Source organism: Homo sapiens, chromosome 10, assembly GCF_000001405.40.
Source record: "Homo sapiens chromosome 10, GRCh38.p14 Primary Assembly".
Classification (NCBI taxonomy): Eukaryota; Metazoa; Chordata; class Mammalia; order Primates; family Hominidae; genus Homo; species Homo sapiens.
The window spans coordinates 96539964-96567165 of record NC_000010.11 but is presented as its reverse complement, the minus strand read 5'-3'; the positions used below and the strand labels follow the sequence as shown (position 1 = coordinate 96567165).

The following is a 27202-nucleotide window of genomic DNA, read 5'->3' as shown; positions in this document are numbered from 1 at the left end:
TTGCAGTGAGCCGAGATCTCACCATTGCACTCCAGCTTGGACAACAAGAGTGAAACTCCGTCTCAAAAAAAAAAAAAAAAAGGCTTTATACAGATAAATGCCATACTGTATATATCTTAGAGCTTCCTACTTAAATCTACCATATTGTTAATGACCATTATCAATGAATATTTGTTTCTAACGGCAAGGAATTCAATGGCTTTGCAGAGGTAGCTGTGAGGTACCCTACTGCCACTGTGGCCATTTGTTGTCCCTTAAGCCTGGACCTTCCTTTGGTTCTGAATATCCCTTCCGTAGCTGCAGTTGCCTGCTACCTTTTGTTCATTATCACACTCCTTGGAGACCCCATTTGGGGATCTCTTGCTGTCAGTTTTTCTAGCTCCTGCTGTAGAAACCCTTTGGAGCAATCTCATTTTTTAACCCTCCGTTGCTTCACTGCTCAGCCTCAGGGTTTTTTTTGTTGTTGTTTGTTTGTTTGTTTTTGCCATCATGAAAATCCTAAATTCCTTACTGCCTAGGAGGGCTTGGGCAGAAAGAAAATCTATGTGGGAGTCGCTGTTGGAGACAAATTAATTTTCTTCCCATACTTTGAGGGTAAGAAGGTATTTCCCTGACATTCTTCCATGGGACTTTAATGTTTACTGCCATCTTTGGTGTTGTAGTTTTGGGGTACCCACTTTAGGTTGGTCTATAATATGGGAAGCTACTCTCTCTCTTAAGGATTGGGGAGACATACTGCTGGGTATCTTGAGTTATAAATTAGATTGCTATTTCTTTGAGCCACTAAATGATGTAGCTACAATTTATGTTTAAGAACTTTTGATCAATAAAAAGTTTAATAATGTATCTTTAGAGAAATTGCATTTCATGTTTCAAATAACCAATATTATAGTACAAATATAGTATAGAACTTAAAAACAAACTTGTGCTTGCTTTTTTGTTCTTGTTCAGAATGATTTCTTAATTTTTTTCTAATTGCTTAATATACCAAAACAACTTCTTTTGATTGACATGTTTAGTATTTGTAGGTTTTTTGGATTTTCTTTTGTTTTATTAGAAACAGGTACATTTTTGAAATACTAGGTTTATTAAGTTAGAAACCATCTGAATAGAATTATAGTAGCAGTATCTTTGAAAGCAGTCGGGGTGGAAAATGACTCATCTTGAGGGGACTTTAAGGCAATTTATAAACAGTGATGTTTGCTGAATAGAGGTTTGCCTTTTAATCTTCCTGCTTATGAATAGTCACTGGGTGTTTTCATAGAATCTGTGGCTTCCAGTAACTTGTCTTTCCAAGAATGTTAAAATCAGTGTTTATCTCAGAGAGATCTTATAGCTACAAATGGTTATCTCTGTTTATGACCATATTCTTGAGCTTTTGTATATATTAAATAAAAACTTTGTTATGTGTTTAAGCTTTTTTTGTTTTTAAAATCAATTTATTTTGAAGTTACTTTATAAATTTTCTTGTATAATTTGCTTTGTATAAGGGATGATTTCACTTAGGTAATGTTTGAAAATAAAGATGATTAAAATTTTTTCATTATAAAAAGTCTTAAAGATACACAAAAAAAGGGAGGAATAGTACACTGAACCCACACTTATTTATCACTCAGATTCAGCTATTGTGAATAGAAATTTTAACTGTAGGAAATGTTGGCTTTTTTCTTGTCTTTTTTTTTTTTAATGTAACTATTTTGCAAACTAGTGGGCTAATTTGCAATTTTTATTTTGTGCAGATGATGTGATGCCAGCCACTTACTGTGAAATTGATTTAGATAAAGAAAAGAGAGATGCATTTGTATATGCCATAAAAAATCATTACTGGTACCAGATGTACATAGATGATTTACCAATATGGGGTAAGTATTGTATGTTGTATTTAAGATTTGGGAAAATTTGCATAATCAGAATTTATAAAATGACTCTGTTAAGGTGATTGTGTACTGGATCATGGTGTAAATGTGTTTTCACTGTTTTTTACAGAATGATTTTAATACCAGTTTTATGGTCACCTGTTGCTTGAAGAATTTTTGACATTGCCATGCCTTACATGAAACTTGCCTAAAATATAACTTTTTTATAGTATAACTTTTCAGATTCAAGAATGAGAAGGTGCTTAGAACAATCTAAAAATTTCTTCTGCTTCCATTTTTTTTCATATCTTAATTTGTTCTTTTAAATACAGTTAAAGGGACTAATAGGATTTTGAAGTTTCATTCTGTCTTTTTCTCATGTTGGTACTGTGGTAGTATGGTTTCTTGGTATGATAGTTTCTTGAATGGCTTATTTTGCTAAAAAATGTTTATGTTTTTGCCCTTATTTATCCATATTAATGGAGAAGAGCTATGGAATAGTTAATGCCAATTTATGAATAATCCAAAATCATTTATGTTGGACTTGATTAAATTATTTATAATGCAAAGCACAGCCAGCTGTCATGGCCAATATGTTTGATCACATTTTTCTCTAATTGTTTCTTTCTTTTGTCTCTGGAAATCTGCTGTTATGTATAATGAATGTTTCTTCTAATGCTTAAAATTGTTAGCAGATTACTGTCATCATGAGCAGTAAACTATCAAAGTCTGAACATATCAGATCAGCATTTAATATCATACTAAGATGAAATTTAGAAAGTTAATATCAAGAGATAATTATATGCATCATCATTACTGTGTTGCATGTTAATTAGGTATATGTAGTTAGTATATCATATAAATGACTGCAGTTACCATTATGGTAACACAGACATTTCTCTGATCCGCTCTGACAGTGGTAGGAAGATGTGCTGAATATTCACTGAAGATTTTTCTGAGCCTGTAGTTCAGGGAAACCCATTGGTTTGGGCCTCCTTCATATTTGAGAGAACAGGTTTCTTCCCTATTGTTTTCCCTTGCTTACAGGTTTGTGCAGTGATGCCATGATAGCTCATTGTAGCCTCAGACTCCTGGGCTTAAGTGATCCTTCTCCCTTGGTCTCCTGAGCAGCTGGGACTACCGGTGCACCCCACCATGCCTGGCTCTTTTTTTTTTTTTTTGGTGTGTTTGTAGAGACAAGATGTCTTGCTTTATTTAAACTAATCTCAAACTTCTGGCTTCAAGCAATCCTCTTGCCTCAGCCTCCCAAATTTCTGGGATTATATAGGGATAAGCCATCATGCTTTAGGTTTTTTCATTCACAGCTGTGGGCTCGTTAGCAACAGTGGCAACTGTGCTTTCCTGTGTTAAATTTATTATAGCCCTGGGATTTTAGAATATGCCCTGTTTGGGGAAATACTTTTGGATGTCCTTGAATGTCTGAACCATGGAGAATCCTTGTCAGAAAAAAAAAAAAAACAACTTTGTACCTGACTTTTCGTGGGGTAAAGGTTTCAGAGTCTTTTAACGCCTTTTAGAGAGTAGCTTCTTACTTGATATAATTATGTCTTTACCCCCAAAGTCTGGTTTTCAGAGTAGATAGGTAAATAAACCTTAATGAAATTAATTATTGGCTGGGCGCGGTGGCTCACGCCTGTAATCCCAGCACTTTGGGTGGCCAAGGTGGGCGGATCACTTGGGGCCAGGAGTTCGAGACCACCATGGCCAGCATGGCGAAACCCTGTCTCTACTAAAAATACAAAAAATTTAGCTGTGCATGGTGGTGCACACCTATAGTCCCAGCTACTTGGGAGGCTGAGGCATAAGAATTGCTTGAACCCAGCGGGTGGAGGTTGCAGTGAGCCAAGACTGCACCTTTGCACTCTATCCAGCCTGAGCAACAGAGCGAGACTCTGTCTCAAAAAAAAAAAAATTAATTATTAGAAGGATTTCATGCTAGTGTGGTGGCTCACGCCTGTAATACAGCACTTTGAGAAGCTAAGGCCAGGAGTTTGAGAACAGACTGGGCAACATAACGAGATTCATCTCTACAAAAAAATAAAACATTTACCCAGGCGTGGTGGCACTTGCCTGTAGTCCTAACTACTCTAGAGGCTGAGGTAGGAGGATTGTTTGAGCCCAGGAGTTTGAGACTGCAGTGAGCTATGATTGTGTCACTACACTCCAGCCTGGGTGACAGAGTGTGAGACCTTGTTTCAATAACAAATAAAGATAAAAGAAGGATTTCATTATCCCCTACAATCCCAAGCAAAACAAAACTATACTCCTTGAATTTGTACCAATTAGAATCACTTTGGTTAATAAATAATATTTTATAAATATGATTATATTTTTCCCTAATACTTACTAAAGCGTAGGGGGAAGGCCCTAAGGAGTAACTTACAGAGCATAAAGCTATTGGGAACTGTTTAGGCTTGGGTGGGGAACATTGGACAAATAGCTGGCAGTCTGAGGGCATGAGAGATGTATCCTCAGCTACCACCTATAATATTTCCCTAACATTGTGGATCTTTTTTTTCCAATATCCCAAATTATGATTGAAGTGATAATTTTAAACTGTATCCTTATTACCATTTATCTTCACCACTCCTTTTATTTTGCTGATTTCCCAGGGACAGATCCAGCAGTTGAGGTATAAAAAGGAGACATGTTAAGTTTTGGTGCCCATATATACATGTGTACATCTTACTGGGAATGGGTAGATCATAGGTTATTAGAGAAAGTACTAGACTAGGGATCTGGAAACCTTGATTTTAATTTTGGTTTGACCACTAATAGCTGGGTAACCTTGGCAGATGGTGATGTAAGCACTTCTCTGAAATTTTGAGATGTTAGGGAGTGGTATTAGTCCATTCTAACACCACTATAAAGAAGTACCTAAGACTATGTAATTTAAAAAGAAAAGAGGTTTAATTGGCTCACGGTTCTGCAGGCTATATTGGAAGCATAGCGGCATCTGCTTGGCTTCTGGGGAGACCTCAGGAAACTTACAATCATGGCAGAAGGTGAAGGGAGAGTCAAGAGTGGCCAGGGAGGGAGAGAGGGCGGAGGTAAAAAAAAAAAAAAAAAAAACTTAATGAGCATTTAGCTTGTAGGATATTTTAAATATTAAGTGGTTTTACCTTGTATAAAGTGTTTTTTCTTTTGTAGGTATTGTTGGTGAGGCTGATGAAAATGGAGAAGATTACTATCTTTGGACCTATAAAAAACTTGAAATAGGTTTTAATGGAAATCGAATTGTTGATGTTAATCTAACTAGTGAAGGAAAGGTGAAACTGGTTCCAAATACTAAAATCCAGATGTCATATTCAGTAAGTATTCAAATAGTTTAATGTAGGAAGTAGTGTTTGTGACCCGATGTCAACAATTTGTGGCTTTGAACTTTAGTAAATGAAAATGTAGCTTGAAATGGGATGCAACAGAATATTATTAAAACTATATTTTCTCAGTGTACGTAAGTAAGCCTCCTGAAAGCAAAGAGAGGATTTGCTTCAGGTCTGTAGTATTAGATACCAGTTATGCCTTTGCAGGAGCTAAACCATTTGGTACAGCCAAGTTTACTGTTGTAGCTGGGTAATTAGACTAACCCAGTCATGTATTTTTATGGTTACATTTTTAGATTGCAGTACTTCATGTTGTTTCCCTTTCCTTTTTAATGTTGCAGATAGAAGTGATGCTGTATTGAAAGTTGCTGGATAGATGTAGTTTATCATGGATTGCTCTGTCAGTTGGAATAATATACTCCTGCACAGTGAGAGCTTGTCAGAGCCTTTTAGCAACTGTCAAGCTATTTCTGTTGTCTTAGGCTTAAAAATAGTAAAAATGAGAGAGAAATTCAGTGTAGGTAGCCTCTGCCAGTTATTGCCTCATAGCTGGAATGAGTCCATTGCTAGTAGTCAATTTTGAAAGTTTTTCAAGCCTTGTGCATATGTACCTGATGCAAATAATCCTTATATAACTAAACTTAATGAAAAAATTTTATAGTTGTAATAAAAGTAATGCAGTCTAAAAATAAAGATTTACAGATTTTTTTTTATTATTCATTCAAATATTTATTGAGCAGCTAAGGAGATACGAAGGTGATTCAGAACATGGTCAGAGGAGAGGCGAATGTGCAAGTAATAGAAAGCAAAGGGCAAGGTTCACTGAATCACAGCAATCAGAAGAAACTGCTTTAGGGAACCAAGAGTGAGATTGTTTCCAGCCTAAAGAGGCATCCATGGCAGATCAGAAAAGGAGATTGAGATTAAAATAGAAGACTTCAGTCTGGATTGTTGATGATACTCAGTATGGACTATATTTGTCTCTCCTTTTCTTTTCTCCCCATCTTTGGGCTTAATTTACCAGTAGTGCCCTGAACTGTTCAATGCACTTTTTGTATACTTGCTTGCATTTTTGCTTTAATGTTTTCTACAGAACTAGGTCCTTTTGGTGTTTTAGGAATTTTTTTTCCTGTTTTTGAAGGATTTTTGTCCTTTTGATCTTAGTGTTGATAGTTTTGAGTCTTTTCCATTCTGATTTGACTTTTGTGCATTTTTGGCTGGATTATCTCATGTAGATTTCTTCACTGGTGGTTTTTCTTTAGTTTCCTCATCAAAATCGTCATCATCATCATCATCATCTTCATCAGCAGCAAGTTTTACTTTTTTCTGTGGAACCTTGCTACCACCTCCAGGGACAGATCACTTTCCAGATATCCTTAAGAATTTCGCCTCCTCCTGTTCATCTTCTGATTCTGCATCTTCCTCCACAGCTACTAAATGCTGTCCACTAATATACACTGGCCCTGAACCACACTTCAACCATAAAAGCACTGGTGGTGTGATTTCAAAGCCCCCAAGGGAAACCGTTGGCTGTGCAGACATTTTCAAAGGTGCCAGTGTTATTTAATTGGACTGCCTTCATAATTCATTGCCTCTGCTTCAACAATATGCAATTCATCCTTTGCACCAGCCCCTAAACTGACCGTTCTTAAAGATAATTGGTGCTCATTTTCATCATTATCCACCTTAAAGTGATCATCTTTGTTGGCCTTTAGTTCACAACTGAAAAGATAGTTCTGGGGCCTCAGGGGGCTCATGTCCATGTCCATCGAATCTTCCATGGGGTGGCAGCACGCATTTAGGTGGGAAAGAAGGCAGACGGAGATAAATGACTTCTGCTCAAGAGAACAGCCACGCAGGACAGAATTACACCAGGCAGATGTACAGATTCTTATTTTAATTGATTTAGACACTTGTGATATGAGCTTATACTAATTCAGTTCATATCACATTTATCAGGTCATAATATGTAAGTCAACAAAAGTAAACAGTCCTTGAGAACTGAAATCACCCCTCTGAGGAAAGTTGTTAAGTTTTGTCAATAAACAGAAAAGTTGATTAGTTTTATCATAATCGTTTCCACTTCTCATGTTGTAAGTAACTTTCCTCCATTTCTCTAGTGAATTTTAATTCTAAGTGTGTGTAAATCTATATTTTGCTCAGAGTTTTGTCATCAGATTATTAATTTGTTTACTGGCCTTTATTTTCAAATGAAAAAATTTTTTTTAGGTAAAATGGAAAAAGTCAGATGTGAAATTTGAAGATCGATTTGACAAATATCTTGATCCGTCCTTTTTTCAACATCGGGTAGGTAAATAGTGTATTTTAAGACATTGATTATGTGCACCAATTCGTTCAACAAACATTGAGTATCTGTCATTTGCAGGGCACTGTGTTGAGGACTGTGGATTAAAAGATTTAGCTAATGGTGATTTAAAGTATGAGCTTGAAATCATAAGGGTGATGGGGAGTTTTAGAGGAGCAATCAAAAACTTCCTTCTTTGTGCTTGTGGTTTAAACCAATTAAGAGATAAACGAAGAATATAACATACGGGAAGCCAAAATATCACTAATAAGGTGAATATTAGATGGCTGCGTTGCACAATGAATAGCGCATTGGCCTTCTAATGAGGTGAATATTGGAGAATGTGGCTTATATCTATCTGTGATCAAGTGGGCTTCTTACTACTGAAACTCAGAATTAGACTTAACACACTCAGAGAGTATATTATAGGCTTCCCTACATGGGCACTTGCCCTTATACAACTTACGGTGTGAGAAAGAACAGAATGTATGCATCAGAAGGAGGTAATGAGAGAACGGATTGAGATCAGGAATTTCTGCTTGTGGAAATCCTTCCATGTAGAAAGAAACATCAAGAATGGGAAGAAATGGCCTCCCAGTTCCCCAGCCCCCACCGACAGATACTTGCTGAATTTTAGTTCATAAAGCCGGTAGCATTAGTGTTGGTTTTGTACAGGTAGTTTTGATTCTTTATAGCAAAAATCACACTTTGTTTTGGTGGTTTCCTCCTCAAGGATGGAGATAAAAAGACAAGGCATAAGGGTATCCCTTCTTCTGAATTTCTTCCTGAATTGTTGCTTCTTTCTTTTGATCTAATCTTTTGGACTAGAATTTTAAAGTTTATTAATCACCTATTTTTGAGATGGCCCGTAAGTTTTTGTTGTCTCAGATTTACATATTACTGTTAGGTTCCATTCTTAGACTCTACCGGAACCTATCACTACTTCTGATCTTACTCAGGGGTCAGAGATTTTAACAATTAAGCTATTTGGAATTTAGTCTTTTTTTTTTTTTTTGAGACAGAGCCTTGCTCTGTCCCCTGGGCTGGAGTGCAGTGGCATGATCTTGGCTCACTGCAACCTCCGCCTCCTTGGTTCAAGCGATTCTCCTGCCTCAGCCTCCCGAGTAGCTGGGATTACAGGCACACACCATCATGCCCGGCTAATTTTTGTATTTTTTTTAGTAGGGGTGGGGTTTCACCATGTTGGTCAGGCTGGTCTTGAGCTCCTGACCTCAAGTGATCCACCTGCCCTTAGCCTCCCAAAGTGCTGAGATTACAGGCGTGAGCCACCGCGCCCTGCCTGGATTGTCTTTACTGAAGGATTTAGCATACTACTCTTGGAGCTAAAATTTTTCCCCTACCTCAATCCCCACCTCAACCCCACCTGCTGTGTGTTCTCCTCGAGTATAATGCTCAGGCAATCTTCAATAGGGTATGGACACAGATAATTTCAAGATTTAGATAACATTTGAGAATATGAAGGCTCTTAACTGGCACTCACTACTGGAACTCTTAGGTCTGCCTTGATTCTAGCCCCACTGGACATTGACAACTTAGGGGAAAGACTGCCTTTTAGTATTTTCACTATGGAATGGTATACTGTATTTATTACTTCAACACATATTAATTGAGCACCTGCTATCTGCCAAGCACTGTATTAGGTAAGTAGGATACATTAGAAAATAAAGGCAAAGATCTATACCCTCTAGGAACTTACGTTCTAGTCAAGGAGACGTGAAATAAACACAATAAGTAAAACACACTTTATTCAAAGAGAAGTGTGTCAAAAAAGAAAAAGTAGACAGCAGAACAAGAGTACCAGGGGTCGGGTAAGTTGCAGTTTTATATTATGTAGTCAAGGTAAGCCTCTGAAATGGATTGTTGAGCAAAAGCTTGAAGGAGTTGAAGGAAATAAAGAATGTGGATATTTAGGGGAAAGAGTATTCCAGGTGGAGGCAACACCATTGAAAAGCCTATTAAAGTGAGGATATGCTTACTGTGGTTTGAGGACTAGCAAGAAGATGAAGTCAGAGAGGTAGCAGGAGCCAGATTATCCATGGTCATTTTAAGGACTGCAGATTTTACTCTTAAATGCAAAGGGGGCAGGGGAGCACTGTAGTGTTTTCAGCAGGGGGGTAACAAATCTGACTTTTGTTTTTAAAGGATCAAATTATTATGTGGGTTCAGGAAGTCAAGGGTGGTAGCAGGGTAGGTGATGAAAAGATGTTAGATTGTGAGTATATTTTGAAGTTAAAGCTGGCGGCATTTCGTGATTGATAGGAAGGTGAAGAAGGGTTGAGACAAACTCTAGGGTTTTCAGTCTGAGTGGAGCTGACATCACTGGGGCTGTATTTGGAGGAGATTTAGAGGGGAAGATTAGGGTACAGTTTGGGACATGTTCGTTTTGGTGTGTCTGTACGATATCCAAATGGAGATATTGACCGGCAAATTGGATATATCAGTTCTGGAGTTCAGGAGAGAGGTCTGGGCTAGAGATACAAATTTTGCAGCAATTGGCATATAGATCATATTTGTGGCTATGAGACTGGATGTAATAATTGCTAAGGAAGGGAGATGTAGAGAGAGAAGAGGACCAAGGACTAAGCCCTGGGTGCAGTAGTAAGAGTTTAGGAAGAACAGGGGAGTTCAGTTAAGGGCTTTGCGGGGGAGGGGAAAGTATGGTGTTCTGAATGCCAAGAGAAGAAAGTGTATCATGGAGGATAGAGAGATTAGCTCTGAATTTTTGCTGATGGGTCAAGTAAGATGAGCACTGAAAAGTGACTATTGGATTAACCTGAAGTCATTGGTGAACTTGACAACGATTTTGGTATAATGGTGGGGCATTCAGAACCTGAACAGAGCTGCTGTAAGAGAGAATGGGAAAAGAGGAATTGGAGACGGCAATTATGGACTTGTGAGGAGCTTGGCTGCTAAAGGGAGCAAAGAAATGGTGCAGTAGCCAGTGTGGAAAATGGAATTAGGAGATTTTTCTTTCTTTTTTTTTTAAATGTAAGAAAAACATTAACTTTATATGCTGATGGGGTTCAGTGGAGATTGCAAAACTGGCAATGCAGGAGAAAAAGGAGAGAAATACTGCATCGTTTTCCTTAAGTAGAAGGAAGGGATATGATGTACTGTACAAGTATAAGAATTGCTTCTAATACAGTGACTAATAGCACAGGCAAAGGAGCTAAAGCTGAATTCAAACTGATGCTTTGCCGCTTACTATGACCTTGGTTAAATGATTCAGTTCTTCAGCTTCTGTTCCCTTAATAGTGAAGCAAGGATTATAGTACCTTGCAGAGCTGTTGGGGAATTTCACGTTGATATAAAGCACCTAGTTCAGTGTTTGGCACATAGCAGGTAAGAGGCAGTATTGTTGGTATAGTTATTTATCTCCAGTTGCATTCTAAATTTATGACAAATTGAGGGTGCAGCTTCAGGATTAGTGACACTAGAGGGTGCTGGCATGCAGCATTAGTAGGGTTAGTAAACCCCTTTGTGACACCAGGTTTCTTTATTTTTAAGAAGTATTTTCCCTGGTATAATAATTTCACAATTATACAACATCTCATAATTTTTAGAATAAAGGAATATTACAAAATTTCAGGTTATTACTACATTATAATAGTGTATATCTTAGATTAGAAAATAGCAGAGCCTTGTTAGAAATTACAACATTTTATGTGTGTCTAATTAGTATAGTTACTAGTAACTATATAAAACTTCTTTTATTTTAAAAAATTTGATAAATTGACTAAAAGATGGTATGTGTCATTTTTCTTTCCCTCTTGAGCTTTTCTGGGTTAACATCTCAGGGTGGGAACAAAATCAAATCTTTGGAAAATCATAGACTGCTTTTATGAACCTTAAATGATACTTTTACAATAAACTCAGATTTATATAACCTTTTTTGAGCAAACATTTCAAAAAACAATGCATTTCTTGGTTCCTTTATAATTTTACTGGATGCTCAATAAATAAATTGTTGAATGAAGTAAGGAATAGTCTTCTGAAGAGGCTGTCTCCTGTTTTTCAAGAAGATCCATAGAGTTTATCTCGTTCCTGAAACCTCAGGGTGGATAACAGAGCCTGGACTGCCCTTCAGTTTCATGCACATATTCAGCACGTTAGCCCAAGTTAACATATGTCCTAATCATACACAGCAATGCATATGTATGTACCTGTAGAATTTTAGAGCAGGAGGATATCTATGAAGAACCGGAATATGTAGATAAGAGGTTTCATGGAGGGGAAGGTACTTGTGTTGGAATATGAAGACTGGGTAGAATTTGCTAAGGGGAGTAGAAGTAGATCTATGTGAGAAGAAATTATAAGAAAAATACAGAGGTGGAAGTGAGTATGCTGTGCTTGTGGATTCTTGAAGAGGGATAAGGCTTATTGGAATATAGAATATAATGGAAAGAAAAGTTGACTAGATAAGGTGAGATGGCCATATTACAGGAAGTATAGAATATTGGAGAAAATAGTTTAGATTTGATATGAGAGAAATAGGGTGTACAACTGTAAATTTTAGAATAGAGGAGTGATATATGAACCTGCTTTGGAAAGATTTCCTTGATAGCTTTTTACAGGATAAATTGAAAGGAAGGGGAGAGACCAAAAAAAAAAAAGGCCAACCAGGAGGCCATTAGTGCTATCAAGGTATGAGGTGATGGCATGGGAATGAAGCAGAATGGATAGATACAAGTCATTTTGAAGAAAAATACATGCTTAATATTACCTATGAAGAATTAAGGAGAAGGAAGAGCCAGAGATAATTGTAAAATTTCAAAGCCACATGTTAGTACCATTAGCAGAAGTTAGAGAATCAGAAACAAGTGTTATATATGAGGTGGAAGATTATGAGTGTACTTTAGGGCAGTCTGAGTCTGCAATTCCAGAAACATTCAAGTGGAAATTATTGTAGTTAGCAAAAGCCTGAAACATGAGTGAGAAAGAAGACTAGCAATTTGGGGTGGGATGGGAGGTGGGGGCGAGGGTGTTATCATCATCATTGGAATGCTGGTTAAAAGTTCTGAGAGCCTAAAGAAGTCACAGCAGAGTACTAAGACTGGAGCTTTTGGAGAAGTTCACAAAGGATGGGAGGAGCCAGCATGGAAGATGAAAGAGGAGAAGCAGCGGTCAGTGAAGTAGGATGCTGTAGTGTCAGGAAAGGTCAGATGTGGCAGAGAGATCAAGGAGAGTGAGGCAGATAATTGGCTGCTGAATCGGTTTAGAAGTTCATTGCAGGCCTTTGAGAGAAATTTTGTGGGGCAAAAGTGAGATTGTATTGTGTTTTGGAGGAAGTGAGGGAAGAACTGGAACATGTCTTCTTTGAAAAGTATTGACATTGAAAGGATCGGGAGGTGAGAAGATGAAAAGAATGAGGGACAAAAGATGAAGCAAACACTTCAAAAGAGAATAATAGCAATAACAATAACTTTTAGGTTTTATTTAGTGTTTATGATGTGCCAGGCACTATACTATTTGCTTTACCTTTATTGTTTAAACTCTATGACAACCCCAGGGAGTAGACATCATTGTAGATAAGGACCTTTGGAGATTGCTGATGGCTGGTGAAAGGTGGAGGGGTTGGGATGCAAAATGAGAGGAGAAAAAACACCTCAAAACTGGATGTGGAAAGGTTGTGTCATAGAAGACAGGATTTGCTTCAAGGGAAGGCAGCAGAAAGGATGGCATTGGGGCCTTGAAGAGAGGAGAGAAATTTGGGGACTATCCCTAAAGATCTTTTGGGAATTAAAATGTAAATAAAGAAATAACTGGGCAGTGCCACAGACCTAGTTCAAATCAGATATGCTACATTTTGAGTAGTACCTTGTGATTATGAATCAGAATCTAGATGTAATATTGAAACAAATATGTGGATAAAATCAAAGCCAAGAGCTTCAAGAACATTGAGGAACTAAAGGATACCTCAATATGCTATGGAAAATGGATTTGGAAAGGGCTGAATTATGATGGTGACAGGGTGAGGATGAACTAATCTGGAGCAAGTGAAGCAAATCATTCAGGATGGTGACCTAAGTCCATGGCAGCCAGCTATAATAGTTTAGTCTTAGTATTTTAAGGAGGTTTTCAGATTGTTCAATTAGGGGGAAGGGAACTAACATTTACTGAGTATCTAAGGTGCCATACTTTATATATACATTATTAAGCCCTACAAATCACTTACAAGATAAGTATTAGCTCCTCCATTTTCCAGATGAGAAAACCGCGGTCACATAGTCAGAAACTGGCAATGTTTGACTCCAGAGCCCATGTTTTTTCCATGTAATGCTGAATAGCATAGGTTATATGGCCAAATTGTACTTTTTGTTTTTAACAATAAATTTGATTTTGAAAATTTATATAAATGATAGCATGTTTTCAACATATGGGTGCTTATTGTAAAGAAAGCCAATCCCCTTGGCATAATGAATACTCATCCTCAAAGTGTCTGAAATTTGGATTTTTGTCTAAAGGATTTAATTAAAGACTTTTTTTTTTCTTTGCATTAACATCCGGTTGTCCTCATGGAACCTATGAATTTTGTGGCTGATATTGCAGGTTGGTAACATTTTATTTTCTGTTATTTTAGATTCATTGGTTTTCAATTTTCAACTCCTTCATGATGGTGATCTTCTTGGTGGGCTTAGTTTCAATGATTTTAATGAGAACATTAAGAAAAGATTATGCTCGGTACAGTAAAGAGGAAGAAATGGATGATATGGTGAGTAAACATTTACATTATATTTGTAGAAACATTTTAACTGAGTGTTAAGTTTTAAATGTTGGGAGGTAGGTCATAATTTCTTACCGGAAGTCTTTGAGTTTCCACAATTCAGGATTTTTAGAGTTAAGAAAGATGTAAAATGCCCAGTGTGGTCTGTAACCATGCCCTGTAATCAAATAATATTAATTTTTTTTCAGGAAAACATAAGAACATTCACCCGAAGTGGGATAAATAAATAGTGTAACCTCTTGTTAGTTCAAGCCAAGTTTTGCCACCAAGTAAGAATATGTCTAATACTGTTAAATACTGCTTAAAATTCAGGGAATGGGTAGAAGGATTAATTTATGTTCAGTTTAGTGGGTTCAGAGGAAAGATTTGTTTTCTAAGTTCTTTTACTAAGTTAGAGAACAAAAAGTGTGTTACATAGAGTGCTAGCTAATGGATATTCGGTATAGGTATACTGTATCATTAAATAAATTTAGGAAATTTGTTTTAAGAGACAGGCTGGAGTGTAGTGGTGCGATCATAGCTCACTGTAACTTCAAACTCAAGAGCTCAAGTGATCGTGCCACCTCAGCCTCCTGAGTAGCTAGGAATACAGGAACAAGCCCCCACCCCTGGCTATTTTTTTATTTATTGTAGAGATAATTTCACTATGCTGCCCAGGCTGGTCTTGAGCTCCTGGCCTCAAACGATCTTCCTGCCTTGGCCTCCCAAAGTGCTGTTATTATAGGTGTGAGCCACCGTGCCTGGCTTGGGAAATAGTTTCAAATTTTAAATTTTAATATACTAGGGTATATTGTGAAGTATCAGAGGGTGGATAAAGCATTTGGTACCTCTTAACTGTATCTGATTAGGATTCTCCCCACCAAAACAGATTACCTTGAGGGACTTCTATTCCTTAGGAAATATTGTTTTAGAAACAAGCTGTGTTAGAAACTGTTTAAGGAGCACTTGCTTACTAAGGTTGCAAAGTAAAAATTGAATTCTTTTTAAAAAAATGCATATAGACTGTTAAATAAAAACATTCATATTGAATATTTCCCCCATATGTTTTCTTAGATTCTAGGCGCTAAAGGACATTTCTGCATTCTTAGGGGATCTAGTACTGGTTTTGATACTCTTCTCTTTCATTTCTCCACCTAGCCCCTGATTGTATATGAGCTACAGCTATGATGTGAATAGCAAGAATAGTGTCTGAAAGTGGCATTAAGAGAGTCAGTGCACTGTTCTCCCAATTTGACCATTTCTTTTTGTTACTAAACCTTTTCTTTTTCCGTTATTTGAGATTCTCTGAGCACAACCAGAAGTCAACTTCCTGAACCTCAGCATTTTAACATTGTTATTAAGGCAGTGATCATTCTAAGTTTGGAATATACTTTCTCAATATTTTGTATTTCTTTAGCTATAAATTTGGAGGGAGGAAACTTACAACTGTAATTTTTACATACTATGTTTTAGTTTGATTCTGAATGATTTGCTTTTCTCTCTCTATATATATATTTGTATATAGGATAGAGACCTAGGAGATGAATATGGATGGAAACAGGTGCATGGAGATGTATTTAGACCATCAAGTCACCCACTGATATTTTCCTCTCTGATTGGTTCTGGATGTCAGATATTTGCTGTGTCTCTCATCGTTATTATTGTTGCAATGATAGAAGATTTATATACTGAGTAAGTGCCTACACTTAACTGTATTATGTCTTTATTGTTCTTAAATAGTTTTAATCACTGGAATCTTTTAAGTCAATCATAATTAAATCGTTACTTATTTCCTTTATCTTACAGTTTATGATAAATATCATAAATGCAGACAGACAAATTAAATAATGAACAGTAATCTGTATTTTTCTGTTACATGCCAAAACTTAGTAGCATTACTGAACATTGTGGTTAGTTATAAAGGTTATATGTTCCATTAAAGATATGAACAGAGGTTACTTTCAATCCAGAGCTGTTTGACAAAGTAAATAGCCTTTTTTTTCCTAAAGTTGAAGATCCAATTAGAGCTTCATCAGAAGTTCAAGAATTTCAGTTACTAAGTTACTTCATATTTACCTTCAGATCTGGAAAACATCAGAGTAGAAGAAAACATTGTAAATAATAGTAAAAAGAGTGATGAAATAGTCACATAAGGTTAGAAAAATAATTGATGACTTCTTTGAAAAAAAAACTCCTAGGTCAGTATGCATCCTATCTTGACACAAGTTTTGTAATTCTTTCTTTGCAAACAAAACCATTTGTAAGAAATTCTTAATTTGAGGTCTTTGAATTATGTGAAAAAGTTACACATTCACAGAAGATCTCAGGTCCCTATTCAGTGCTCAAGAAAGCCACAACCTCTGTGAAGCAAACACACTCTGGTGCCTGGGTGGTAGCGATTATAATTCAGGCATTTCAGGTGCGGCCATATGAAGTCCTCCTTCAGAATGACACTTTTCTCTAGTTATATTTCATGCCTCTGTTTTAGTTCATAATGCACTCTTTCCTCTATATGCCTGGCGTTTGATGGGCAAGCAATACATCCTTGCTGAAAGAATGGCTCTTTAGTTGCATATTAAATATTTAACTGTATACTAAATATTTGTTTCCTCTGCTAGATAGTAAGTTCCTTGAGAGTAAGGATCAGGTCATAACTTACCTTTGAATTCTCAAAGTACCTACATAAGGAGCTTTGCATGTGGAAGGTATTCAGTCAATGCTTGTTGAACTGAAGTGAATATGTATTAACCAACAAAGCTATTTCTCTGTAGCATTGGTTGTATTTCTTTAATATAACCTTTCTAATTCATTTACCGCATGAGCTTTAAAATAACCCAAATCTAAACTTCAGAGTTCTGGCGAGTAGTTCATATTTTCGGGCATAATGTATTTCAGATAAGCTGGACCCTAAATATAAGAAAACATTTCACATCTACCAAGAAGTTGTGCTTTACATTAAACACTGGATTAAGTTAATCACTATCGAATTGACACTAGCTGTACTGTCACAGTCTTAAGAGCCACTAGAAGATAATCTCTTCTAGAATCCAAGTTTTTGCTGCTTCCTTTTCAAAATGTTAGTGTTACAATTCGGCAGCTCTTTTTTTTTTTTTTTTTTTAAAATGCAGAAGCTCTTCTACTTAAAGACCTTCAACTTTTATAAATAAGAAACCACTCACTAATGTATAATATTAGCAGGCAAGTCATGCATTGTTATTTTAGCCTATAATTACTGTAAGTGGTTTTTCTGTGTTGTGTTTATTTGAAGTGAATGTAATTCATTACTTATGTAAGTACTAAAGCATTAAGGATTTATTATTATATAAAAGTGGCCAACTTATTGAGATTTCACTTTAGGTGTTTCATGCACATTTGATCCCTTAATCTTCACATCAACCCTATGAAGGAAATATTCTATTTCCATTCTACAGACCAGGACACTAAAGCTCAGAGAAATAATCTGACTGAGATCAATGAGCACCCTTTACTAGTAAAGAGTGTTAGTGAGCTGGGATTGGAACCTAGGCAATCTTATTCCAGAACTCTTTTCTTAATTTGCTATGTTACGGAAATGAAAATAGAGAAAATAATAATACAAAGTGGTGAGAAAATGAAAAATTTGCACACAAAATTGGGATAAGTCACTTGAATAGGAATGATTCTAAAGGATAAAGAGCAGATAATGTAAAGTAAAAATTACTTTGCCTCTGTGGTCACTATAGCAATCAGAGGAAAAGTATTTTGAGGGTATAAGGTAGAGGATCAGTATCAGTGTGGGTGCCTGTTATAGTGTGATATTGAGAAGGCATAGAGTTTGAGAAGGTGAGGAGTAAGCTTGTTAGTGCTGCTGCTGCTACTCTGAAAGTTTTCACTGGAGAGTGGTAAGGCTGTGGCAGGTGTAGGCTAAATACCTCTTCAGATGTTCCCCACATCCCATCTTGGAGAGATGAATAAGGAGGACTGTTGCCTCCCTCAGCAGATTTTTCAATGTAGATAAAAATGGTTTACTTGAGGGACATGGGGAGGGAATGCCCATAGAATATTTGTGAACAAAGAAGTGAAGGACCTATAGACTTTTTTAAAATCGTATGTCTGATTTTAATTTTTACATTTTTACTTTTTTTTTTTTTTTTTTTTTTGAGATGGAGTCTTGCTTTGACATCCAGGCTGGAGTGCAGTGACGCGTTCTTGGCTCACTGCCACCTCTGCCTCCCAGGTTCAAGTAGTTCTCCTGCCTCAGCCTCTCGAGTAATTGGAATTATAGGCACCTGCCATCACACATGGCTAATTTTTGTATTTTTAGTAGAGGCGGGGTTTTGCCATGTTGGCCAGGCTGGTTTCAAACTCCTGACCTCACGTGATCTGCCCACCTTGGCTTTCCAAAGTGCTCGGATTACAGGTGTGAGCCACTGTGCGCGGCCTAAAAATCATTTTCAGCAGCATGAGGGAAACAGGGAAAGCCTCAGTGTTATTCCATCTAAAATAATAGTATTTAATATAGATTATACTACTGTTTTATTTCTGTTTGCAGGCAAGATTCATAAGCAGTTGAATCAAGTTATGAAACAGACTATTCCAGTCATTTTTCTTAACAGATGAACATCTTGTTCCATATTATGGGATTGGTTTACAGGGTCACAAAACAGTTTTAGTGTCAGCTTCTAGTATTTTTGCCAAATAAATATGAAATACTTGCTTAGAATATATCATAACATTTAACTGCAGGATAAAAAAATTAGGATCAGCCAGGTATCATGTAAATGCAGTTTTAACTACAAATTCATTCACTATAGAGAATCTTTTGAGTTTTATTTGTAGTCCAGGTTGTGATATTTTTGTATTTCTGTTAAAGTTATCTTTGAAATTAAACTAATGCTAATATAATAGACTATGATGTTTTCTTTAAATTGTTGGTTTTAATTTTTTTTTTCTTTTTTGCCTTTTTAGGAGGGGATCAATGCTCAGTACAGCCATATTTGTCTATGCTGCTACGTCTCCAGTGAATGGTTATTTTGGAGGAAGTCTGTATGCTAGACAAGGAGGTAACTTACGAATTCTCACTTCATGTTGTTAATTATAGATGCTAATATTTTACTATGAGATTTTTTTTGTTTGTTTTGAGAGAGTCTCACTCCATCACCCAGGCTGGAGTGCAGTGGTGCAATCTCTGCTCACTGCAGTCTCCACCTCCTGGGTTCAAGCGATTCTCGTGCCTCAGCCTCCTGAGTAGCTTGGAATTACAGGTGTGTGCCACCATGCCCAGCTAATTTTGTGTTTTTAGTAGAGATGAGATTTCACCATGTTAGCCAGGCTGCTGTGAACTCCTGACCTCAAGTGATTCGGCCTCCCAAAGTGTCTGGCCTACTGTGAGATATTTGGAATTTAAAATGTGCAGAACAGCCATTGTAAAATTCTTTGTTATCTCATTTCACATAATTTCTACCAAACCTATTGTGTGTTCTGTCTTGCTTTTGTGGAATTCTCGCGTTTTATTTCCTAAAATTATGAATAATTAGTAGATAATCTCCTTTGTGCACCATGTAATTTGCCCTGAGGAACATGTAGGAGAGTGCATTTAAGTTATTGATACTATTTGCTTTGAGGTGCCTGGCTCTAGATGTGCTCCATGTGATGCATCCACACAGAAAAAAAGCTTTATAGATGAATATAAAGGCATGTGTAATGGTCTGTGGGTAAAGTTTCTGGACAATGGAAAGAGAATAGGAAGGAAAGTTATGTATTTCTGTTGACTGTTAGTTTTATCAAAGGACCCTTCGCAAAGATTTCTGCTATTCTTTGTCACTGTCACAGTCTCTTGCTAAGAGCACTTTGTCTTAAATATCCTGTTGCTCCTTTACTACTATTACCTGAAATTGATGGAACTAATAACACGATAATACAAGGATACTGCTCCTTGGTGTTTTTTTCTGCAGTGGCATTCAGAAATGCCTTGTATTCCCTGCAGTAGTCTGAGGTCAGAAAAGTACAAAAATTGGTAGATTTGCATTTTAGTTTATGAATGAAGTGTTGTTGAAATACCTTAAAATTATATTTCCAAGGATGGAGTTGTGATTTTCCACAGCCCATCTTAAGCAGTGTCAGCATTAGGGGATCCTGCCTTCTTTTAGTAGACTGGGCACACTTATAGGTTATAGGAAATCGGAGCGTAGGATTATATCTTGGTTTACCATTGCTTTTTTATTAATCTTCCTAGACTTAATGTGACCTGTACCTTCAGTATAGATAATTATTTGGATTGACTGAGGGAGTGTCACTATGGGTTCCTGACTATTTTAGGTAGATGTTCAGTCTCTAAATTCGACTCGCAGGTGTGGGAAATTAGTCCTATCATATAGGACTACATCCTAAGGAAATAAGGACACATGAGGCAACTTCTACTTTGAATTTGACCTGGAAATTAATTAGGCTAAAATTTTAGTTTATGACTCTCAAAATAGTCTCCACAGCAGAAACAGATTTATTTAAAACAGGAAATTTATTTAAAGTTGGACATAAATTTGTTTTTAGTCTGACTGCAAGTTAAGAACACCCAGCCCAACTTTCCTTTACTACACTTATTCTTGAAAGCTGACAGAGTTCAGGCTCAGGTCTAGGAATATCAAGTCTTACAAAATGTAATGTAAAGATTATGTTCTGATTGGTAGTGTCCTGAGGAGATCTGATAGTGTCCTGATATTTTGTCCGATCAAGCCTCAAAAACCAGGTTAATGTAGAAGTCAACCCAGGGGATCAATAATTTTTCAGACTTATCTCAGGATTTGAACTACAGTGAAGCTCAAGGTCTTCACACTGTCCTCAGTGCACTATAATGCTGTAGATCTAGTTTGAAGCCAGTGGTATCCAGGACCTTAGCCAGAGACTTCAAGGGTTTGAAGAGCAGTAGAAAACACAGCAATGCAGATACTTGGGTTACTGGTTGTACCCAGTGGAATGTGTACAGGATTCTTTTTGACTGTTAGAAGGAAAGGGAGAAATAGAGAGTTGGATAAGGAGATTGATTGATTGATTGATTGATTGATTGATTTTGAGATGGAGTTTCGCTCTTGTCTCCCAGGCTGGAGTGCAATGGCACGATCTCAGCTTACTGCAACCTCCACCTCCTGGGTTCAAGCGATTCTCCTACCTCAGCCTGCTCAATAGCTAGGATTACAGGCGCGTGTCACCATGCCCGGCTAATTTTTTATTTTTAGTAGAGATGGAGTTTCACCACGTTGGCCAGGCTGGTCTTGAACTCCTGACTTCAGGTGATCTGCTCGCCTCAGCTTCCCAAAGTGCTGGGATTACAGGCATGAGCCACCACGCCCGGCCACAGTTTTGTTGATACATGTCTGAATCTGAGAAGATAGTGGAAAATGCAGGAAAAGAAAATGCTAGAAAGGTGTTGGAATTAAATAGAAGTAATACTTTAATTAATCACCACCTTTTTGTATTGTTCCAATGCTGGCTATCAGTTAGAAAGGAGAGGTTCTTGAAACTTAGCTGGAAAAGAAATGAAACAGGAGAGAAAACTCAGGATTAAGGAGTTTTTCTGGAGGAACGTTATGATTTTAGGTAATAATTCTGTAACAGATGTTTTAAAAGAACTTTATATAGCAGAAAGCAAAAATTAGAGTATTGCTTATTTTTCTATGGTACTTTCTGTTTGGGTCCCTGTTGCTTATGATTGTGGAATTGAATTTTGATAGTGATTCAGTGTTTCTAAGCTGTTTGAAGATATTTTCTGCCAGCTTTACCCTCTGCTGTATTAGAAAGACAGCTCTCTGTTGCTCTTCTGGTCTGTATGAGCAAAATTGAAGATTTTTTTATTACATAGTTAAAAAATTTGTTCCCTTGATTATTTGAATAATAGAAGCTCAATGTATAGAATTTTGGCAATACACAGAGGTACAGAGAAATAGTAAAACTTATAAATCTGTAGTTCTGATTGCTGAGAGAGAGCTTATGAAACACATTGGTTTTTTTTCTTTTCAAACGTAGAAATGCTCTTAAATACATATTTATAATTATAATTTTAGAGCTAAGGACAAACTTAGAGGCTGTCTAACTCAGGGTTTTTTGTTTTTTATTATTTCACGTTTAATTTTTTTTTTGCCCTGTCTTAGGGTGCTGAAAAATCACAAGTGGGTTTCTTGCGAGGTTCTTTTTTTAAAAACTCACTGGTTTTTAGACTTTTTTCTTCTTTTTAAAGTAGTATAACCTGCTTTTCAAATGAAAACTTACATGAAACTCCAATGTGTAACTGTTGAAAATGTAATTGTTCTGGTTGAAGCAGGGGTAAGGGCACCTGGGATTTTTCTTCACCAGTGACTTCATGGGCATGCCAAGAAGCTCCAGAACTCCAAGGAATAGTTTTAAAACCCCTTTCTCTTTTTTTTGATCAGTTAATTTAAACCAGTAATAAAAACCCCTTTCTAGGCCAACTTGTAGCCTAGAGAGAGAGAGTGGCTTATGAAAGTTCACAGCAGTTCAGTGGCAGAGTCAAGACAAAATGTCAGAATATTTTATTACAGGTCATTGCTCTTTTCCAGTGCACCCACTTCAGAAGCTGTGATTTCACTATACGTACTTGGAAATCTTTGGTATTTGTTAGCTATTATTTTGAAGAAATTATTAAGATGTTAAATTTCATGATCTTTATATTAAAATTTCAAACAAATAATTTCGTACTAAATAATTATATTAAACTTTCATAGTTTCCTTTCTTTTCAGGAAGGAGATGGATAAAGCAGATGTTTATTGGGGCATTCCTTATCCCAGCTATGGTGTGTGGCACTGCCTTCTTCATCAATTTCATAGCCATTTATTACCATGCTTCAAGAGCCATTCCTTTTGGAACAATGGTGAGTTGCTTGAATCTTACTTTTAAACTGAAAAAGTATACACATTCTAACTGAGACCTACTCACCCTCCAAAATACTTCTTATTAGATGTTTTGATGGTTTCAGTCAGTTCATACTCAGTCCTGGAAAGTTAGATGAGGAGAATACTACTGTTGTTAGCCTCCATAAAATTTTGGTTAAGTTTAAACCTATAGTTGGCTTTTTATTTTTTCTTGATTCTGTAAGCCAGTAAAGTGAAAGGCTGACTTTAAAAGAGAGCACTATAGCTTTTTATCAGAGATGGGAAGAACTGGTGAATATATTTTAGAGAAAGAATCATGACAATCACAAAACATGGGTGTTTTAAGATGATAGGTGAGTGCAGTGGTAGAAAGTAAAGCTTTTCCATGACACATTTTTTTGTATTAACATACTTTTCTTAGAAAGTCACTAAGCATTGGCCAGGCGCGGTGGCTCACACCTTTAATCCCAGCACTTTGGGAGGCTGAGGTGGGTGGATCACGAGGTCAGGAGATTGAGACCATCCTGGCTAACACGGTGAAACCCTGTCTCTACTAAAAATAAAAAAAAAAAATTAGCCAGGTGTGGTGGTGGGCGCCTGTGGTCCCAGCTATTCAGGAGGCTGAGGCAGGAGAATGGCATGAACCTGGGAGGTGGAGGTTGCAGTGAGCCGAGATCACGCCACTGCACTCCAGCCTGGGCGACAGAGCCAGACTCCATCTCAAAAAAAAGAATCTCACTAAGCATTTTTGTAAATAATATACGTTGCTATAGATGTTAAAATGTGTTTGCATATCTTACCTGTAATCACAGTCTTGGAAATGCTTTGAATTATTTAAATATATTAAAACTAGAACACATAAAATGAGTTAACCCACGGTCTCCCAATTCTTCTTGGTATTACCTTTTTACTAGAAACAGAATTTTAGGCCTAGACTAGAGTGAAGGCTTAATGTACGCTTGTGCATACATGTTCATACGTATATATGCCAATGCAAGTTGCAGGGTGGTTACTGCTTTTAACAGAGCCTCAATAACTTAGTCACAATCGTACAGGCAGTTAATGGTAGAACTGCCATTAGAGCCCACAATATCTGTTTTAATCTTGTTTGGGTTTTCTTTCTATTATATGGGAGTTAACAAATAGTTTCCCAAAAATTCCAGGTGACTTTGTTTTATAGTCCAATTTTTTTCAAAGACACATTGAATATTATACATTTTTATTAAATATTTAATACCTTTTAGTTAGGAATATTTTGAAACTTGTTTCAGAATGGAAATTTTTTTTTTTCAAGCCAAAGTAAGTGATAATGCTTAGAAAAGGGAAAGGTAACTAATTACACCAGACAGGGAAATAATTTGCTTTGTAATAGTTCCAGGCCATCAGAAAGTACATAGAGTGAGTCAGGTTACTTCTCAAAGAACATCTGCTGAATTGATTATTTTCATAGTGCTTTAAAAATTAAAATTTTGATTCTGTTAAAATTTTTCTCAGAAAGTTTTGAATTTGATATTGGTAAAAATGGTATTTCAAAGTTGCTTTGTCTCGCTAAAATTGTAAATTTTTACCAATTTGTAAATGGAGTTTTAAATGTTAATATTCAGTGTAATTTGCCTTTAGATAATTTAATAATTACAAATTATTAGAATATAATATTTAAAGTCTGTGCTGAGCCAGAGAAGGTTTATAAAATTGTTCTTTAGTGAGTAAAAGACTAACTGTTGGTACTTGGCAGGCTCCTACAATATTATGTTCTTAATTTGCATTAGTCTAATGAAGGAATACTGGGGGAAGGGTATTCCCCTGGCCTCATGTTTTAATTAGGTGTGTACTTTACCGTCTCCTTTTCTCCGTTTAAGAGTATGAAAACTTGTTTAGAACATGAACTTGAAGAACTTGAAGTGAATGTTTCACCCAGCTCTTCATTAAGTACTTGAACTACTTAAGTTTGTGGTTTTAGTTGTTTGACTTCTTGACATTCTGAAGGAAATGGTTACATAGTCTCATAAACTCAGTGATTCTCAACCCTGGGCACACATTAGAATCACTTGGGGATTTAAAAAATTTTAATGCTCAGGGCTTTCTTTCAAGCTAATTAGTCTGTCCTGCTTTAAACCCAATCTGTAGTGTTTACCTGATTCCAGTTCCTGGGATCTGGGGATGGATCTGTGAGCCGAAAGGCTCCCAGACCATAGGTGCCATGTGTCTGAGAAGCCAGGTACCACTACTAACTGAATACCTTAATTTGAGAATCAGAGTCTTCAGATCCTCCTAAGTGCTCTTCCCCAGGTCTTATCTCTTTCTGTCCCCCATTCCTTTGATCTCTTGGCTATTGAGGCCTTTTTCTGGGTGATCTTCACTCTAGTTCTCTGTTCTATGAAAGTTTCCACATCTGGCTGGGCATGATGGCTCACGCCTGTAATTCCAGCATGGGAGGCTGAGGTGGGCGGATCACTTGAGGTCAGGAGTTTGAGATCAGCATGGCCAACATGGTGAAACCCTATCTCTACTGAAAAAGCAAAAATTAGCTGGGCATGGTAGTGCAGGCCTGTAATCCCAGCTACTCGGGAGGCTGAGGCAGGAGAATCGCTTGATCACTTGAACCCAGGAGGCGGAGGTTGCAGTGAGCTGAGATCACGCCATTGCACTCCAGCCTGGGTGGCAGAGTGAGACTCTGTCTCAAAAAAAGAAAAAAAAAATTAGATTGATTCTGGAAAGCTAAAAACTTTTTATTTTGGGAATTTATCCAAGAATGATTTAGATGCTCTACCCAAAGGTTTTGGTCCTGTAAGAGTTCCTTGGGAATGAGAAAGGATTCGCCAAGATGTTCTGGAAAAGGGTTTTAGACACAAAGTCTTTTCTTTCGTGGGCTGTAAATCTCAGATCCTAAGTTTTCATCTTATTGTAGGATTCCAAAGGACAAAGAACCAAATTACAGAGTTTTAAAACTCACAGAGGCAGGTTAGCATGGGAACTAATCACCTTTCTTTTCTTGAAAGATTTGTAAAACTGGCCGGGCGCAGTGGCTCCTGCCTGTAATCCCAGCACTTCGGGAGGCTGAGGTGGGTGGATCACCTGAGATCACCATGGCCAATGTGGTGAAACCCCGTCTCTACTAAAAATACAAAAATTAGCCAGGTGTGGTGGTGGGCACTTGTAATTCCAGCTACTCGGGAGGCTGAGGCAGGAGAATCGCTTGAACCCGGGAGGCAGAGGTTGCAGTGAGCTGAGATCGTGCCACTGCACTCCAGCCTGGGCAACAAGAGTGAGACTCCATCTCAAAAAAAAAAAAAAAAAAAAAAAAAGAAAGGTAATATAAAACCAATGTTAGAAAAGCTTCATCATCTAAGGTGAGCTGTTCACAAACGCTAAAGCAAGCAAAAGGATTTTATAAAGATATCAAGATCAAAGACTCATTGTGTGGGATCAGTGATGTAACAAAGTAAAAAAAAAAAAAGAATGGCTCTATCCCATTCTTCCTCTTTATTTTTCATCAAATAAAATATAACCCATAAACAAAAAAAAGTAAGAGGAAAGATTCCCTGGTAAGAGGGAAGTGAAGCCTAAGATACGCAAGGCAGTTGATTGTACAGGAGTACCCAGCTGCCTTAGCTTGAAAGTCTTGTTGCTCATAAAAATGATCTTTTAGAGATACCGAGAGATCACATTAAGTAATGTTTGAATAACTGTGTGAGAGCAGAGGTGCTGTAAAACTGGATGGGCAAATTTACTTTTCCAGGAGGGAAAGGAAGAAAGTGGGTTCTACCTTATAAGAGTATCGAAGTATTAGCCATAGTATGTACATGCTATCCTTTAGTAGAAGGTGACAGATATTCTTGATTCTGACCTATTCAAAAGATGATTAATAACTTAGAGACATGGTGGTCTGCTGATTCAATTGAAAAGGGATGTGAGACTAGGGAAGAAACTAGTAATATAAAATAATGAACTAGTAATATGAAATAATGAAGGCAGCATCTAAAAAGATCTCACCTGACTGAAATGATGTGCCAAATCTAAGAAGATGAATTATAATAAGGATCAATAATAATACATTTGTGTAGCACTTTGTAGTTTACAAAGCATTTTCACACGCATTATCTTGTCTGGT

General features: G+C 37.0%; 1 protein-coding gene and 1 pseudogene across 2 annotated transcripts in view; one reads left to right on the top strand and one right to left on the bottom strand.

The window, feature by feature from the left end:
• The window catches only part of TM9SF3 (transmembrane 9 superfamily member 3), a 68903-nt gene that overhangs the window by 19847 nt on the left and 21854 nt on the right, over window positions 1–27202 (top strand). For both annotated transcript variants that reach the window (NM_020123.4, XM_011539976.3), the window contains exons 3-9: window positions 1740–1862; window positions 5028–5188; window positions 7430–7507; window positions 14107–14238; window positions 15755–15921; window positions 19177–19271; window positions 22960–23090. In NM_020123.4, the coding sequence (NP_064508.3) occupies window positions 1740–1862; window positions 5028–5188; window positions 7430–7507; window positions 14107–14238; window positions 15755–15921; window positions 19177–19271; window positions 22960–23090 (887 nt within the window). The remainder of the gene's footprint in view (window positions 1–1739; window positions 1863–5027; window positions 5189–7429; window positions 7508–14106; window positions 14239–15754; window positions 15922–19176; window positions 19272–22959; window positions 23091–27202) is intronic.
• On the bottom strand, window positions 5944–7076 carry NPM1P26 (nucleophosmin 1 pseudogene 26; annotated as a pseudogene).